The sequence below is a fragment of the Homo sapiens genome, chromosome 17 (assembly GCF_000001405.40).
Source record: "Homo sapiens chromosome 17, GRCh38.p14 Primary Assembly".
NCBI lineage: Eukaryota > Metazoa > Chordata > Mammalia > Primates > Hominidae > Homo > Homo sapiens.
The window spans coordinates 62,014,742-62,032,817 of NC_000017.11; the positions used below are offsets into that span (position 1 = coordinate 62,014,742).

Below are 18,076 nucleotides of genomic sequence, written 5' to 3' on the forward strand. Positions count from 1 at the left end.
CAAATTCCTGGACTCAAGAGAGCCTCCCAAAGTGCTGAGATTACAGGCATGAACCACTGTACCCAGCTGAGGAACTGAATTTTTAATTGTATTTAAATCCAATTACTGTAAATTTAAATAGCCAATAGTAGTTACTAACACAGCTAGTATTGGATAGCTCAGCTCTACAGCTACCTTCCATTTATAGAAATGCAAAGGAAAAAGGAAGAAATTAAATTACACTGAAAGAAGTAAAATTACATGACAAGTAAAACGAAAAATCCAGAATGTGGGGCACTCTATAGGAGGAACTGACCTAGTTTTACCAACCGAGTCAATGTCATGAAAAGGGAGCAGGAGACAACTAAAAGGAGAGATTTAGAAAACATAACAACCAAATGTTTACTCCTTGTTTGAATCCTAGTCAAATAAACTATCTACAAAAAGACATTTCTGAGAAAATCTGGACAAGGTATCATAATATTAGGTATGACGGTAGAATTATATTCATGTAAGAAGATATTCGTATTTTTTAGAGCCGCATACTGAAGTACTGCAGAAGTGTAATATTTAAGATTTGCTTTAAAAACCTTTATCAAGAGCATAGCATAAGGATTTGCCAAATAAAGTATTACATATCTATAAAATGCAGTATTATGAACTTTTTAAAAAGAATGAATCTGTAAGTGCTAACATGGATAAACACCCAGGCTGTTTATCAAAAAAACAATAAGTTGCAGAAATACAGCATGATTCCATTTGTGTGAAAGAAAGCAACAGGCAGACCTACATACATAAGAGGGGAACCTGTTAATTTTTAATTTTATATTCTTGTGTACTGTTTGAACTTTTAATTTTATTTATTTAACTTTTGAGACAGTCTCGCTCTGTTGCCCAGGCTGGAGTGCAGTGGCGTGATCTCCGCTCACTGTAACCTCTGCCTCTCAGGTTCAAATGATTCTCCCACCTCAGCCTCCCGAGTAGCTGGGATTACAGGCACCTGCCACCACATCAGTCTAATTTTATATATATATATAATATAGATATACACACACTATATATATATACACACACACTATATATATCTATATATATACATACACACTATATATATACACACACACTATATATATGTGTATAGTGTGTATGTGTGTGTGTATATATATACACACACACACACATACACACTATACACATATATATATATATATATATATATATATATATATATATATTTTTTTTTTTTTTTTTTTTTTTTTTTTTAGTAGAGACCGGTTTTTGCCATGTTGCCCAGGCTGGTCTCAAACTCCTGATCTCAAGTGATCTACCCACTTCAGCCTCCCAAAGTGCTGGGATTACAGGCATGAGCCACTCACCCAGCCTGAACTTTGTAAAAGAGCATTTTTTTTTTTAAACACAGAAATTTGTTCAAAAACACAAAAAACCAAGAACAACAACAAAAAAAAAAACCCAGCAGGTCCTACCCAACGTATGAATAATCCCTTCTCTTTTTTTTTCCTCATGCTGTTGCCCAGGCTGGAACACAGTGCCGCGATTAGCGCTCACTACAGCCTCCCAGGTAGCTGGGATTACAGGCAAGAGCCACCTCATTGGCTTGAATGGGTTCTTTTTGAATACTTTCAATGACAAGGACCATACTACTGTATAAGGAGATGCATCCCCCTCATCAAATAGCTCCAACTGCTAGAAGGTAAATTCTTAATATTGAATAGAAATTCATCTTTTCTGTATCTTCCAGCCCTTCAGTCCTATTTCTACCTAATTTATAAAGCTGCACTATCCAATAATGGTAGCCACAAGTTACATGTAGCTATTAGACACTTGACAAGTGGCTAGTCCAAATTGAGATGTGCTATAGATGTAAAATACCAATTTTCCAAGACATGTTATAAAATAAAGAAATGCCAAATATCACTAATGTTTCATCACAATTACTGTATGTCAAAATAATATTTTAGATAAATCAAGTTCAATAAAATATATTGGGCTGGGCATGGTGGCTCATGCCTGTAATCCCAGCACTTTGGGAGGCCAAGGCGGACGGAACACCTGAGGTCGGGGGTTCTAGACCAGCCTAGCCAACACAGTGAAACCCCGTCTCTACTAAAACTACAAAAAATTAGCCGGGTGTGGTGGCAGGCGCCTGTAATCCCAACTACTCAGGAGGCTGAGGCAGGAGAATCACTTGAACCCAGGAGGTGGAGGTTGCAAGTGAGCCAAGATCACGTCACTGCACTCCAGCCTGGGTGACAGAATGAGACTCCACCTCAAAAAATATATAATAATAATAATAAATAAATAAATAAATAAAGTAAATTAAACAAATTTTAAAGATCTTCAGCAAGAGAAAAGGTCTAGTTGAAGCAAACACAGTAAGTGAATACGAATGGTTGATAAACAGGAATTCATTGCCCAATTCGCTTACTTTTGTCCATGTTTGAAGTTTCTAATAACAAAACAGAGTAGAACTAAAATGCTAAAAAAAAAAAAAAAAAAGCATGAAAGATTTGAGGAGCAAGATTAAAGTATTCCAAGGTCTTTGTTCATTCCATAAAAAGAGCGTAGACTCTAACTTTAGACTTTAAGGAAAGCAGGCATAATAAATGATTAATTCAATTAACAAAAGAACAAAAATAGAACACCAAACTTCTAAATCAAGAGAAGAAACTGAAAAAAAGAATATAAAAAGGAAAAAATAACAGTATCATTAACTCATCAATTATTCAAATATTTGTCTACTAAATTCAAAGTATGGTCTATGAACCCTCCTTTTCAGGGGCTACAGGGGTTCAAAACTATTTTCATAATAGCATCAAAACAGTATCTGACTTTTTTATTATGTTGAAATTTACAAAGATGGTGCAAAAACAATAGGCAGCAAAACTTCTAGCAACTGAACATGAATCAAAGGGAGTGGTACCAACTGTACTAGCAGTAGTAGTCACTGCTTTCTCCACCACCACACATTCAGTTTGTTGTTTTTTATGATAGTATCACTTAAGAATGTCCTTCATGAAGACAGCAAAAATAATTTTTATTAATCTCAATCCTTATACAATCTTTTTACACTCTGTATAAAGAAATAGGTAGTGCATATAAAGCATTTCTGCTATAGATTTGAAGTACAATGGCTATTTTGAGGAAAAGCGCTTGTACGACTGAGTTACAAGCTGAAACTAGCTTTTTTCATGAAACACCATTTGAAGAACAAAGGACTGGTAGATAAACTAAGATTATCCATATTTGGTCATTTGGCAGATTTGTTTATTAGGTTATCAAACATGAACAAAATGAGTTTGTCATTTAAGGAAGAACTAATCATTTTGAGCTTGACTGCTAAACAATGACTACTACTGCTAATACAGTTGGTACCACTGCAATATTTAGAATTTTGGAAAACTATCTGACACAGTGCTTGAGCTTTCTAATACTTAAATACTTTTCAGGTGAGATCACTGGCAATATTAATGAATGAAATATTTTGATACTCTGCATTGGCTGAATTCCACATCCTCAAATTCAACCAACCAGAGATGAAAAATATTATTTTTCAAAAATGAAAAGTTAACAGTACAAGAATAAAAAATAATATAAATTGTAAAAACAATACGGTATAACAACTATTTACGTAACACATTGTATTAGGTATTATAAACAAACTACAGATTGTTTACACTGAAGGGCCAGGTACAGTGGCTCATGCCTGTAACCCCAACACTTTGGGAGGCTGAGGTGGGTGGATTACTTGAGGCCAGGAGTTCAAGACCAGGCTGGCCAACATGGTGAAACCCAATCTCTATTACAAATACACACACACAAAAAGTTAGCTGGGCGTGGTGGCGCATGCCTGTAGTCCCAGCTACTTGGGAGGCTGAGGCACGAAAATCGCTCGAGCCAGGGAGGGGCAGGTTGCAGTAAGCCAAGATGACACCACTGCACTCCTGCCTGGGCAACAGAGGCAAAGACCCTATCTCAAAAAAAAAAAAAAAAGTATACTGAAGGATGCATACGGGTTATATGAATACTAACTCATTTTATATGAAGGACTTGAGCATCCGTAGATTTTGTTATCTGTGAGGGTTCTAGAATATCGATCCTACACGGATATTTAGAGATGAGTATATATAACAAAATGTGCCAACATTCAGATCTATATAACCCAGTGAACTGATATTTTTCAAATGACCAATGCATGATGTTACAAAATCGAAAGATCCATTCAGTTATTAGTGAAGTACAACCACTGACAGGGCTTTAGATTCCACATTCCAACCAACCCTTAAGAAACTACCACTTGTCAATTTTTGGTGTAGTATCAAAGAAGAATATCCACAATTATCTGAAAAAGTTATTAAAATACTCTCTTCCCTTCTCCAATTGCATAGCTACATGAGGCTGGATTTTCTTCATATACTTCAACCAAGACAATATCCAGCAATAGGCCGAATGCAGAAGCAGATATAAGAATTCAACTATCTTACTACACTCAATATTAAAGAGACTTGCACAACTGTAAAACAATGCCACTCAATTAGCTTTTTGGCTACTGTTTTGGAAAATATAGTGGATGTCTATTTTATTCATGTTAATATGCACTGAAATTATTGTTTTTAATAAGTGGTGCTTTAAAATTTCTCTAAAATATAAATAGATGTAATAAACGTACTTTGCAGTCTTCGGTAATTTTTTAAGACTGTAAATAAGTTCTGAGACAAAAAAGTTTGAGAATTAGTCTATTTTATGCAAGGCAGTAGGAGAAATAGGATCTCCATTCATCTGAGGTGAACTATTTAGTTATGTCCCAAGTGTACAAGGGATGTGAAAAGTAAATGGCCATACATTCACTTACCCAGCTATTAAGAGTAAGAAACTATTAACTGGGGCTACATACTAATAGCAGCAGTTCTCTAAATTTTTGACAACATTAAATCAGCCCTTTTCTTCTATACAGACCTCTTTCTAAAAGCTAGTTTCTTTAGAGAGTACAATTGAATTTCTTTTTTTCTTTTTTTTTTTTTTGAGACGGAGCCTCGCTCTTGTCACCCAGGCTGGAGTGCAGTGGCACAATCTCGGCTTACTGCAAGCTCTGCCTGCCAGGTTCACGCCATTCTCCTGCCTTAGCCTCCCGAGTAGCTGGGACTATAGGCGCCCACCACCAAGCCTGGCTAATTTTTTTGTATTTTTAGTAGAAACACGGTTTCACTGCGTTAGCCAGGATGGTCTCGATCTCCTGACCCTGTGATCCGCCCGCCTCGGCCTCCCAAAGTGCTGGGATTACAGGTGTGAACCACTGCGCAAGGCCAAACAACTGAACTTCATGCTAGAACACAACCACATTGAGCAATCTTTGTAAAAAAAAGAAATTGTCCTCAAAGCACAAACCAACAGAGTAATCCTTTTAGATTATTTTTTCCTATTGATGTTAGGTATGCAGTACTTTAATGTTAACATGAGAAATTTAATGTATTGCTTTTTACTTAGCAGCCTTTCTTTTTTTTTTTATGAAGATTAAAGAAAACCTTTTATTGAGGTATAACTTACAATAAATAGTGCACATTTAAGTGTGCAGCTCCTTTAATTTTTTACATATGAATACATCATTGAGACTTTCTGTAACCCACTTTATACTGTAGTTTGCTTTTTATTTTTCTTTTTTTAGACAGTCTCGCTCTTTTGCCAGGCTGGAGTGCAGTGGCACGATCTCGGCTCACTGCAACCTCTGCCTCCCAGGTTCAAGCGAGTCTCCTGCCTCAGCCTCCCAAGTAGCTGGGACTACAGGTGTGCATCACCACGCCCGGCTAATTTTTTTTTGTACTTTTAGTAGAGATGGGGTTTCACCATGGTGGCCAGGATGGTCTCGATCTTTTGACCTCGTGATCCTCCCGCCTTGGCCTTCCAAAGTGCTGGGATTTCAGGCGTGAGTCACTGCACCTGGCCTGCTTTCTTTTTTTTTTTTTTTTTTTTTAATTGATCATTCTTGGGTGTTTCTCGCAGAGGGGTATTTGGCAGGGTCATAGGACAATAGTGGAGGGAAGGTCAGCAGATAAACAAGTGAACAAAGGTCTCTGGTTTTCCTAGGCAGAGGACCCTGCGGCCTTCCTCAGTGTTTGTGTCCCTGGGTACTTGAGATTAGGGAGTGGTGATGACTCTTAATGAGCATGCTGCCTTCAAGCATCTGTTTAACAAAGCACATCTTGCACTGCCCTTAATCCATTTAACCCTGAGTGGACACAGCACATGTTTCAGAGGGCACAGGGTTGGGGGTAAGGTCACAGATCAACAGGATCACAAGGCAGAAGAATTTTTCTTAGTACAGAACAAAATGAAAAGTCTCCCATGTCTACCTCTTTCTACACAGACACGGCAACCATCCGATTTCTCAATCTTTTCCCCGCCTTTCCCCTCTTTCTATTCCACAAAACCGCCATTGTCATCATGGCCCGTTCTCAATGAGCTGTTGGGTACACCTCCCAGACGGGGTGGTGGCCGGGCAGAGGGGCTCCTCACTTCCCAGTAGGGGCGGCCGGGCAGAGGCGCCCCTCACCTCCCGGACGGGGCGGCTGGCCGGGCGGGGGGCTGACCCCCCCACCTCCCTCCCGGACAGGGTGGCTGGCCGGGCGGGGGGCTGACCCCTCCCCACCTCCCTCCCGGACGGGGCGGCTGGCCGGGCAGGGGGCTGACCCCCCCACCTCCCTCCCGGACGGGGCGGCTGGCCGGGCAGAGGGGCTCCTCACTTCCCAGTAGGGGCGGCCGGGCAGAGGCGCCCCTCACCTCCCGGACGGGGCGAGCAGCCTGCTTTCTATGTGCAGTTTTCCTATGAACATTCCACCACACTAAAGTCTAATATCAGTAAATGTGCGCTATTCAATCTCGCTAATGAAAAATGCGACAAACAATTTTATGCTTCTCACTTATTATAATGGCAAAAAATAATTTTGAGGATAGTTCTCAGATCAGTGAAATCACAAGAAAAACCAACATTTTCTATATGCAAAAAGTGTGAGTAAAATCGGTAGAACCTTTTTTGATGTCACACGTACTTAAATAGCCCTCTCGCCTACAACTCTTTATCACATCACCCACCTAGTTTATTTCCTTCCCAGCACTCATTCAAATTTAAAAAGGATTTAAAATCCTTCTAAAGCCTGGGCACAGTGGCTCACGTCTGTAATTCCTGCACTTTGGGAGGCCAAGGTACGTGGATCATTTGAGGTCAGGAGTTTGAGACCAGCCTGACCAACATGGTAAAACCCCATCTCTACTAAAAATACAACAATTAATCTGGATGTGGTGGTATATACCTGTAGCACCAGCTACTCAGGAGGCTGAGGCACAAGAATCCCCTCAACCCAGGAGACGGAGGTTGCAGTGAGCTGAGATGGCATCACTGCACTTCAGCCTGGGCAACAGAGCAAGACTGTCTCAAAAAAAAAATATATATATATATATATATATTCTTAAAAACAAATTATCTGCCTCACTTCCAAGAGAATGCAGACTTCATAATAGCAGGAGCTTTGTTAGCTAGTGTATTCTGAGCCTAGGACACCTTCTGTCACAGAGTAAGGATTCAAAAAAACCTACTAAATAATTGATAGTTACAGCAGTATTACTTTTTTTTTAAAGCAAGCACAAGCAAAAAACACCTATGGAAACAAACTGTATGTCCATCAAATCCAGAATGATTACATAAACTATGATACTTCCATTCAGTGGAATATTAATAACATTTTTTTCATTTTTCTTTTAAAAAAGAGAGTTATCACTACATTGTCCAGGCTAGTCTTGAACTCCTGGCCCCAAGCAATCCTTCTCCCTTGGCCTCCCAAACTGCTGGGATTACAGGAATGAGCCACCACACCCAGCCACAGGAAAATTTTTAAACAATGAAGCAGAGCTATATAAGTAACTAATATGGAAAGATCTGAGGCACATTAAGTGAAAAAAATTAGCTGTGAAAAATAAATCAGAATAATACTTATGTGAGGCCAGGCATGGTGGCTCATGCCTGTAATCTCAGCACTTTGGGAGGCTGAGGCAGGAAGATCGCTTGAGCCCAGGAGTTCAAGACCAGCCTGGGCAACATAGCATGACCCCGTCTCTACAAAATATTTAAAAATTATCCGAGCATTGAGGCACACACCTGTAGTTCTAGCTAGTTGGGAGACTGAGGCAGGAGGATCGTTTCAGCCCAGGAGTTTGAGGCTATAATGAGCCATGATTTCATCACTGCACTCCAGCCTGGGCGACACAGCTAGTCTCTAAAAAAATAATAATATTTATGTGTTGAGAGGAGAATACATAAAATTAAGTATGGAGAAATAGTATCTAATTGGCAACTAGCCACTTCTAGGGAGAGTGAGTAGGCTTGGGGGAGAGAAAGGATGGTCAAGGGGAACTTAGGCTTTATTCATATACTTTAAATTTCTTAAAATAATTTCTATTCATGTAAATTGTCTGTTACAGTTATGAATTTTTTTTCTTCCCAAATCAATTTTTAAGAGAAGCCAATGTTATCAGGCAGGGTCCAGACCTATCTTTCACACAGAAGAAATTCACTATAGAGAACCGGTTATACAAAACAGAGGAAAGTGAGGAAACCCAGAGACTAGTAATAGCAGGGAGCTTCTATGACTTCTAGCACTGAAAGGACAATAAGATGATGTAGTCTCACCATATCCCAGAAGCTCAGGATGGTGCTAGAACCATAGCAGGATCTGCTCAGTAGTAACTGGGACCATGAGGAAGGGGCTGTGTTAATAGGACACAAGGGAGCTGCTGCTGGAGTTGGCTCAAAAAGGGACTGGGGAAAGACCCTGGCTTCTTCCCTCCTCTCACCCTCCAATCTTCTGTTAGTGCCTCCTATTAGCCAACTCCAGAAAGCAAACGAGTCTAGGAAATTTAATTCCCTGCAATACAGAACAGAACAGAGAAAAAGCAGAAATGGATTTGAGAGCGAGCTAGAGGCCGATTTAACAGAGTCAGTTATCAATGTATGCCCCCCAACCTCCTATATATTCTATGGCAAAGAGGATACACATGTAGTAGCTCACTGTCTATCTGTCTTACCTTCACTTAAGAAATAAGCTAGATTTGTGGTGGGCAGAAGACCTAAAGTACAAAATGTAATACTAATTTTTTTAAGTAAATTATTAGAAATGCTGTATTTACTAAAGGAGCAAACTAACCAAAGCAAGTCACACGTATCGATTATGTAAAATTTTAGCATATTAAATCTCTATATGCCTCTGAGAAATTTCTGAAAATACTTTTAAAAATGACTTTTTTTTTTTTGAGACGGAGTCTCGCTCTGCCACCAACACCAAAGTGCAGTAACGCCATCTTGGCTCACTGCAACCTCTGCCTTCCGGGTTCAAGCGATTCTCCTGCCTCAGCCTCCTGAGTAGCTGGGATTACAGGCGTGTGCCACCATGCCTGGCTAATTTTTGTATTTTTAATAGAGATGGTATTTCACCATGTTGGCCAGGCTGGTCTTGAACTCCTGACCTCACGTGATCCACCTGCCTCAGCAACCCAAAGTGCTGGGATTACAGGCATAAGCCACTGCGCCTGGACAAGAGAAAACAACTTTTTAAAAATAAAAGTTCAGCTTAAAGACCAAGAATTTAAACCTGTGTTGCCAACATGCATATTTTAATGCCTTCCTCTAAAACCATTTTAGACAAAATACTTAAAATCCACCTTTTCAAAAAGAATAAAAAAGTCTAGTTTAGGAACTAAAACAGAACTATTTGATAAAAATTCCACTAGTGGGAAAGAAAATCCTAATTTATTTTTTTCTCAACTTTTATTTTAGGTTCAGGGGTAAATTCGCAGGTTTGTTATATAGGTAAACTCATGTCATGGGGGTTTGTTTACAGATTATTTCATCACACAGGTATTAAAGGACTAGTATCCAATAGTTATTTTTTCTGCTCCTCTCCCTCCTCCCAGCCTCCACTGGACCCAGTGTCTGTTGTTCCCTTCTTTGTGTCCATGAGTTCTCATCATTTAGCTCCCACTTATAAGTGAGAACAGGCAATATTTAATTTTCAGTTCCTGCATTAGTTTGCTAAGGAAAATGACCTCCAGCTCCATTCATGTTCCTGCAGAAGACATGATCTCATTTTTTTTTATGGCTGCACAGTATTCCATGGTGTACATGCACATTTTCTTTATCCAGGCTGTCAGTGATGAGCACTTAGGTTGATTCCATGTCTTTGTTATTGTGAATAGTGCTGCTATGAACATTCCCGTGCATGTGTCTTTATGACAGAATGTTTTATATTCCTCTGGGTATATATATCCAGTAATAGGATTGCTCGGTCAAATGGTAGTTTGGGAAAAGCTTACTTACATTTAAGCATTCTTTTAGTCTTAGACCAGGGATTAGCAAACTTTTTCTGTAGTGAACCAGAGAGTAAATATTTTATCCCCTGGGGGCCAGACTGTGTCACAACTATTCAACTCTGCCATTGTGGGGTAAAAGTGACCACAGACAATATGTAAATAAATGAATGTGGCTGTGTTCTAATAAATCCTTATTTATCAATACTGAAATCCGAATTTCACACAACTTTCACATACCATAAAACATTCTTTATTTTTTTCAACTTTTAAAAAACGTAAAAATCATTTTCAGTTGGCTGGGCATGGTGGCTCACACCTATAATCCCAACACTTTGGGAGGCCAAGGCAGATGGATCACCTGAGGTCAGGAGTTTGAGAACAGACTGACCAACATGGTGAAACCCCGTCTCTACTAAATAATACAAAAAATTAGCCAGGTATGGTGGCGCGTGCCTATAGTCCTGGCTATTCTGAAGGCTGAGGCAGGAGAACTGCTTGAACCTGGGAGGCGGAGGTTGCAGTGAGCCGAGATCACACCATTGCACTCCTGTCTGCGAGATATCGTCTCAAACAAATTAAAAAAAATCATTTTCAGCTTACAGGCCATACAAAACAGGCAGTGGGCCAAATATGGCGAATTCATCACTGTTTGCTGACCCCCATTCTTATACAAATTATGTTCAGATTAGGTGTGGTTTTTTTAGCTATTTTAAACTGCTAAACAATAGCTAAATATATCCTTGTTTTTATTCCAATCTCTCTAACAGAGGTAAATTTTCAACAAAGTTGCCAGACTTTTAAAAATTACGTATTCTTTAATCCAAAGAGCCTCCATAAGAATATTCAATTTATGCAAAAACATAACAGCACACTTGAGAGAGTCTGTTATTATATATTCAAACCAACAGAGCAAATGTAAGAAAAACCTTGGCCCTAACCTGCAGGCACTCCATTTGTTTGGTTCACTTCCATGAGAAAGACAGGTGACCATCTATTCCATCACAAGTTCTGACTAGGGATGTCAAGGCCATTACTGTTTACTTGAATGCAAAAGCCTATGATCTATGTTTAATCTGCAGGATAAAATAATAAACTCTAGGCAACATAATTTTAAAACTTCTCATAACCAAACCTTATCAAAAGGCCTTTATAAACTAAATAAATTTCTAAAGAATTCCACGTTCATCTATTCTTCTACCAATCATTCAACCAATATAATCCATTAGAAAGCGTGACAGTTTTGTCATGCTTTGAGTTTTGCTCCCTTGTGACAGTTCTTCCCTTACAGAATCCTATTTTCTGAATCTTATTTCAACATTTCACCTACAGCTGCCCAAAGAATGTTATAAGAAATTACTCCACAAAATCCATCACTGTATTTATCATTAAAAAAAAAAAAAAAAAGACTGTAGCTGGAAGCACTCCCCTTGAAAAGTGGCACAAGATAAGAATGCCTCCTCTCACTCCTATTCAAAATAGTATGGGGAGTCCTGGCCAGAAGAATCAGGGAGAAAAAAATAAAGGGCATTCAAATAGGAAGAAAGGAAACAAAAGTAACCCTGTTGGCAGACAACATGATTCTAGACCTGGAAAACCTCACAGTCTCAGCCCAAAAGCTCCTTCAGCTGATAAACAACTTCAGTAAAATTTCAGGATACAAAATCACTGTACAAAAATCACTAGCATCCCTATATACCAACAACAGCCAAGATGAGAGCCAAATCAGAAATGCAATCCCAGTCACATCTGCCACAAAAAGAGTAAAATAACTGGGAATACAGCTTACCAGAAAGGTTAAAGATCTCTACAATAAGAATTACAAAACACTGCTCAAAGAAATCAGAGATGATGCAAAAAAACAGAAAAACATTCCATGCTCATGGATAGGAAGAATCAATATCCTTAAAATGGCCATACTGCCCAAAGCAATTTGGATTCAATGCTATTCTTATCAAACTACCAATGACATTCTTCACAGAACTAGGAAAAACTATTTTTAAATTTCTATGAAATTCAAAAAGAGCCCAAATAGCCAAGGCAATCCTAAGCAAAAAGAACAATGCTGGAGGCATCATGTTACCTGGCTTAAACAATACTATAGGACTACAGTTACCAAAACAGCATGGTACTGGTACTAAAACAGACACATAGACCAATGAAACAGAATAGAGAGCCCAGAAATAAGGCTGCACTGCCACAACCATCTGATCTTTGACAAAGCTCACAAAAACAAGCAATGGGGAAAGGACTCCCTATTCAATAAATGGTGCTGGTATAAGTGGCTAGTCATATGCAGATGACTGAAATCGGACCCCTTCCTTAATACATAAACATCAACTCAAGATGGATTAAAGACTGAAATGTAAAACCCAAAACTATAAAAACCCTGGAAGACAACCTAGACAATACCACTCTGGACACAGAAATGGGCAAAAATTTCATGACGAAGATGTCAAAAGCAATCACAACAAAAGCAAAAACTGACAGATGGGATCTAATTAAACTAAAGAGCATTTGCACAGCCACAGAAATTATCAACAGACTAAACAGATAACCTACATAATGGGAGAAAAGTTTTGCAAACTATGCTGACAAATGTCTAATATCCAGTATCTAAAAAAACTTAAATTTATATATAAAAAAAATCCTGTTAAAAAGTGGGCAAAGGACATGAAAACTTTTCAAAAGAAGACATATGTGCAGCCAACATGCATATGTAAAAAAGCTCAACATCACTGATCATTAGAGAAATGCAAATCAAAACCATAATGAGATAACATCTCACACCAGTCAGAATGGCTATTATTAAAAAGTCAAAAAATAACAGATGCTGGCGAGGTTGAGAAGGAAACATTTATACACTGTTGATGGAAGTGAAAATAGTTCAACCACTGTGGAAAGCAGTGGTGATTCCTCAAAGAGCTACAACTACCATCCGACCCAGCAACCCCATTACTGGTTATATACCCAGGGAATATAAATCATTCTACCATAAAGACACATATACGCAAATGTCCACTGCAGCACTATTCACAATAGCAAAGACATGGAATCAACCTAAATGCCCATCAATGACAGACTGGATAAAGAAAATGTGGTACATATACACCATGGAATACTGTGCAGCCATAAAAAAAGAATGAGATCATGTCATCTGCAGGAACATGGATGAGCTGGAGGTCATTATCCTTAGCACAGGAACAGAAAGCCAATTACTGCCTGTTCTCACCTATAAGTGGTAGCTAAATGATGAGAACTCATGGACACAAAGAAGGGTCCAACAGACACTGGGGTCTACTTGAGGGTGGAGGCTGGCAGGAGCAACAGGAGCAGAAAAAGTAACTACTGGGTACTAGGCTTAGTATCTGAGTGACAAAATAATCTATACAGCAAACCCTTGTGACATGACTTTACCTATTTCACAAACCTGCACATGTAACCCTGAACCAAAAATAAAAGCTTAAAAAAAAAGAAATGAAATTACTCTTCAAAACCCAACACTGTATTTACTATTAAAAAAAGATTGTATCATGAGGTCAGGAGATTGAGACCATCCTGGCTAACACAGTGAAACCCTGTCTCTACTTTAAAAAAAAAAAAAAAATTAGCTGGGCATGGTGGCGGGCGCCTGTAGTCCCAGCTACTTGGGAGGCTGAGGCAGGAGAATGGCGTGAACCCGGGAGGTGGAGCTTGCAGTGAGCCGAGATCACGCCACTGCACTCCAGACCAGGGGACAGAGCAAGACTCCATCTCAAAAAATAAAAAATAAAAAAAGATTACTGTAGGCCAGATATGGTGGCTCACACCTGTAATCATAGCACTTTGGAAAGCCAAGGGGAGGACTGTTTGAGGTTAGGAGTTCGAAATAAGCCTGGACAACATACCAAGATCCCCTCTCTACGAATTTTTTTTTCTTTTAATTAGCCAGGTGTGGTGGCACATGCCTATAACCCTAGCTACTTGGGAGGCTGGGGCAGGAGGATCGACTGAGGCCAGAAGTTTGAGGTTGCAGTGAGCCATGATCACTCCAGCCTGGGTAACAAAGCAAGACCCTGTCTCTTCATTTTTTAAAAAAAGAAAGAACTCTTGGGATAAATTTCTCAGGTAGTGCCATTGAGGAAGGAATGCTTTTCTCAAGAGATTTATATGGCTGTATAGCTTATAGATACTATATATACCATAGCTCCATATAAAATTGTCTTTTATTTAGCTACTAGGAAACAAAACTTTCAGAGTCTGCCTCTGGTAACAGTGAATGAACTGAAAGCTTATATTTACATGTACTTCTATAATCAGCTTCAAATTCCTGAAATATTTTTCCTGAATTTTCTTTTGAAAAAAAATCCTGACATATGTTCATGTAAGCTGTTTCAAATAAAGTGGGCATAAGCATTCAGTGGCGTAACAAACTATCACACATAGGCATCAATCGATCGGGAAATAATCTACCTCAAACAACTGCAATTTGTTCTTTGTGTGGCTTCAACAAAATCCCAGGATGCCACTTTAGCAGCTGTCGCTTCTTCGCATAGACCACCTGATGAAGCAGAATACTTCCTCCTAAGATTTAAAGTTACAAAATTCTTTAAAATTCATAAAATTTTCTATCAAACCTCAATGTAGCATTGAAATTAATTTTAAAGATCAACATTATGAGTTAAAGAAAAATCAAACAAATGACTGTTTATACTTTAGATATCTTCTAATTATAAGTAATTATCAACATGCAATTTTTGAACTTATAAATGAAAATACACACTTGTTCTGTGCTCTGTTCATATTGCATTCTTGCCAAACTCTATCCACCACATGATTTGCTAATTTTCTGGGTATTTTCCCACCATGGTGGCTAGTACTATCGGAGTTGAAGCCATCAGATACTGAAGAAAATTTGACCCACTTCTGGACAGACTGAGGATCAACTGAAAACAAAACAAAAAAACAGGCTGTAGGAGAATAAAGGTAGGTTTAAAGTAACATTATTTGGGTTTTTTATTAATTTGTGATACAAGCTGCTCCAGCTATCTGGTAAAATTATTTATATTTTGAGATAAAAAGCATGCTACTTTTTGGAACCAGATCTCATTAGGCAAATGTGGCAATCAAGTACATCTCTGTAACCTACCACTCTCAGTACCAAGAGTGGGGTTCTCAGGAGCCAGGCAGGGCCAGCACACGGTGGCGTGTCGGGGGAGGTGGGCTGAGGGCAAGGAAGGAGGTGTCCCATGGATCATGCTGTATAAGCAAACCAGACTATCCTGATGCCCAGAGTGACATCATCAAGGTCAGAGGCTGGCCAGAGGTGGGGAGACTGGAAGGACTTCGGAGTAGTGCGAAGGGGCCCTGGACACCAGCCATGGAGCTGCTGCACAGAGCCTGGCTTCCACATCAAGGTGGGGTTTGGAGGCCAGGATGAGCCCCTGCAGCGGCAGCACTCTGGCCCTTCTGTCCCTGCCAGCCTCTGACCTGGGTCAGTCAATCATTGCTGGATTTTAGCCAAACACTTTAGTGTTCTCATTTAGTTGGAAATTAGACAGTCTTTTTTGTAAGGTCAGCTGAGCATGAGCATATTTCCCCTCCATTGTAAAAAGCTCTTCTGTGTTTTTATACGTTTCTCCTCCATTGTAAAAAGTTCTTCTGTGTTTTTGTTTTAAAGGTAGATGGAGGGAGGGCAGAGATATAAACTGTTGCATGAATCGATGGGTCAGAACTTTAGTATATGCGTATGTTCTTCTGAGTAACAGGGCGTTTTGCTGAAAATAAGCACCTTGGTAACTAAACCCCTTTTAATAGCTAAAACGCTTTAGTTCTGTATTGACAGTTACTGTAAAAGCTTGGGTTTATTTTTGTAGGACTTAAGGGCTAAGAATTAGAACACAGCAATGGGCTGCTCTGTTGGAGTAATTTTAATTATAGATAAACACATAAACCTTTAAAAATAAAAGCACGCTACTTTTAAATACAGAAAGCAAAATATCTAAAACAGGGAATGCAAACTGGATGGCAGTGTATCAATGCTGATTTTCTGACTAAGAGGATCGAGTAATAGTTGTATAGGAGAGTGTCCTTAATTCTGGGAAACACACTGAGTACACAGGAGTGATGGGACATCATGTCTGTAGGTTGTTCTCAAATGGTTCAGAAAAAGACCAATGATAATGAATGTACATCATACAGACAGGGTGATGGAGTAAATAATAACAGTTTGGAAATATGGCTAAGGAAATTACTTGTACTACACTTGTAAATTCTCAAGAAGTTTGAAACTATTTCAAAATAAATTATTTCTTAAGTACTTACTGTACACAAAATAACAAATTACCAGAGCTGATGAGACAAATTACTGCTATACCTGTTTGGACTTCCTCAGGAGACGTAGGTGGTGTAAGCGTAACCGAAGACATAGCAGGATCTCTTGTGGAAGCAGGCACTTGGTGGACACCCAAGCAAGAAGATGAACAGTGAGTGGATCCCACAGGGCTAGGAGTAGGAATGTCTGACTGAGGGACTAGAACAAAGCATGCTGGGTAGATCATTCGGACACCAGCTGAAAGGAAAAAAATGGGACAGGAAAACCAATTACCTTTGTGACTAGTGAATTAGTTTCACTCAAAAGTACTATAATGGAAAAGTAGGTATCACATTTATACAAATAAAAATACATTTTTATAAATATAAGCTTCTTTGGCATAAGTTTTTCTTTTCTTTTTTTTTTTTCTCTTTTTTAGAAGAAACCACAATAAACCACAATAAGCTGTCAGTGGTGGTTATCTTTGCTGAGAGAGATTTGGAAAAAGGCAGCTTTCCTTTTTTTAGATTTCTAGAAATGTGTTTTTTAAATCTTTATGTGCACTTCTGACCAACTTAATGTGTATTACTTTTTCAATTTTATTGTTTAAGTTTAACAAAGGTAATCTGGACACTAGAATTATGAACCATTTTCTACTTACTTTTCTATATGCCTCTATTTTAAAAGCCTAAAAAATGTGTGTTTTTTCTGTTTCTGTCACAACTGCTCTAGTAGTAATGGGTTTATTTAAAGTGAGCACTGGTAATCTTTTTCTTAAAAAAAAAACAGACAAACAACAACAAAAAAAACAGGCCAGGAGTGGTAGCTCACACCTGTAATCCTAGCACTTTGGGAGGCCGAGGCAGGTGGGTCATTTGAAGTCAGGAGTTCAAGAGCAACCTGGCCAACATGGCTAAACCCCATCTCTACTAAAAATACAAAATTTAGCTGGGCGTGGTGGCAGGCACCTGTAATCCCAGCTACTTGGGAGGGTGAGGCAGGAGAACTGCTTGAGCCCGGGAGGTGGAGGTTGCAGTGAGCAGAGATCACGCCATTGCACTCCAGCCTGAGCAGCGACAGAGCGAGATTCCGTCTCAGGAAAAAAAAAAAAAAAAAAAAGATGAAATAAGGTGATCTTCACGTCTAACATTACCATTAGATTCCCTTAAATACAATATGGTAGATTCTAATTCCAATTATCTCCTAAATTATACTTTCTCCATGCCTCCTCTCATGCCTCTCTGAGGTAGAGTATATGTCTTCACTCCATTGTCAGGCTGTGTGACTTGCTCTGGAATGTAAGCATGTGATATAAGCCACATCCTAACAGAAGCTTTAAATGTGCCTGCAGGGTCAGTGCAGCTTCTCTCACTTCTGTCTTCTGCTATGAGATTAACATGTCCCAGATGTGGGTACTTTGTTAACCTGGGTCCCTGA

The 18,076-nt window shown here is 39.1% G+C and overlaps 1 protein-coding gene across 4 annotated transcripts in view; it reads right to left on the reverse strand.

Annotated features, from left to right (window-relative positions):
* MED13 (mediator complex subunit 13) overlaps positions 1-18,076 on the reverse strand; it is a 122,674-nt gene that overhangs the window by 72,137 nt on the left and 32,461 nt on the right. For all 4 annotated transcript variants that reach the window (XM_011525551.3, NM_005121.3, XM_011525553.4 and 1 more), the window contains 3 exons: positions 16,703-16,897; positions 15,110-15,272; positions 14,800-14,910 (listed from right to left, as the gene is read on the reverse strand). In XM_011525551.3, the coding sequence (XP_011523853.1) occupies positions 14,800-14,910; positions 15,110-15,272; positions 16,703-16,897 (469 nt within the window). The remainder of the gene's footprint in view (positions 1-14,799; positions 14,911-15,109; positions 15,273-16,702; positions 16,898-18,076) is intronic.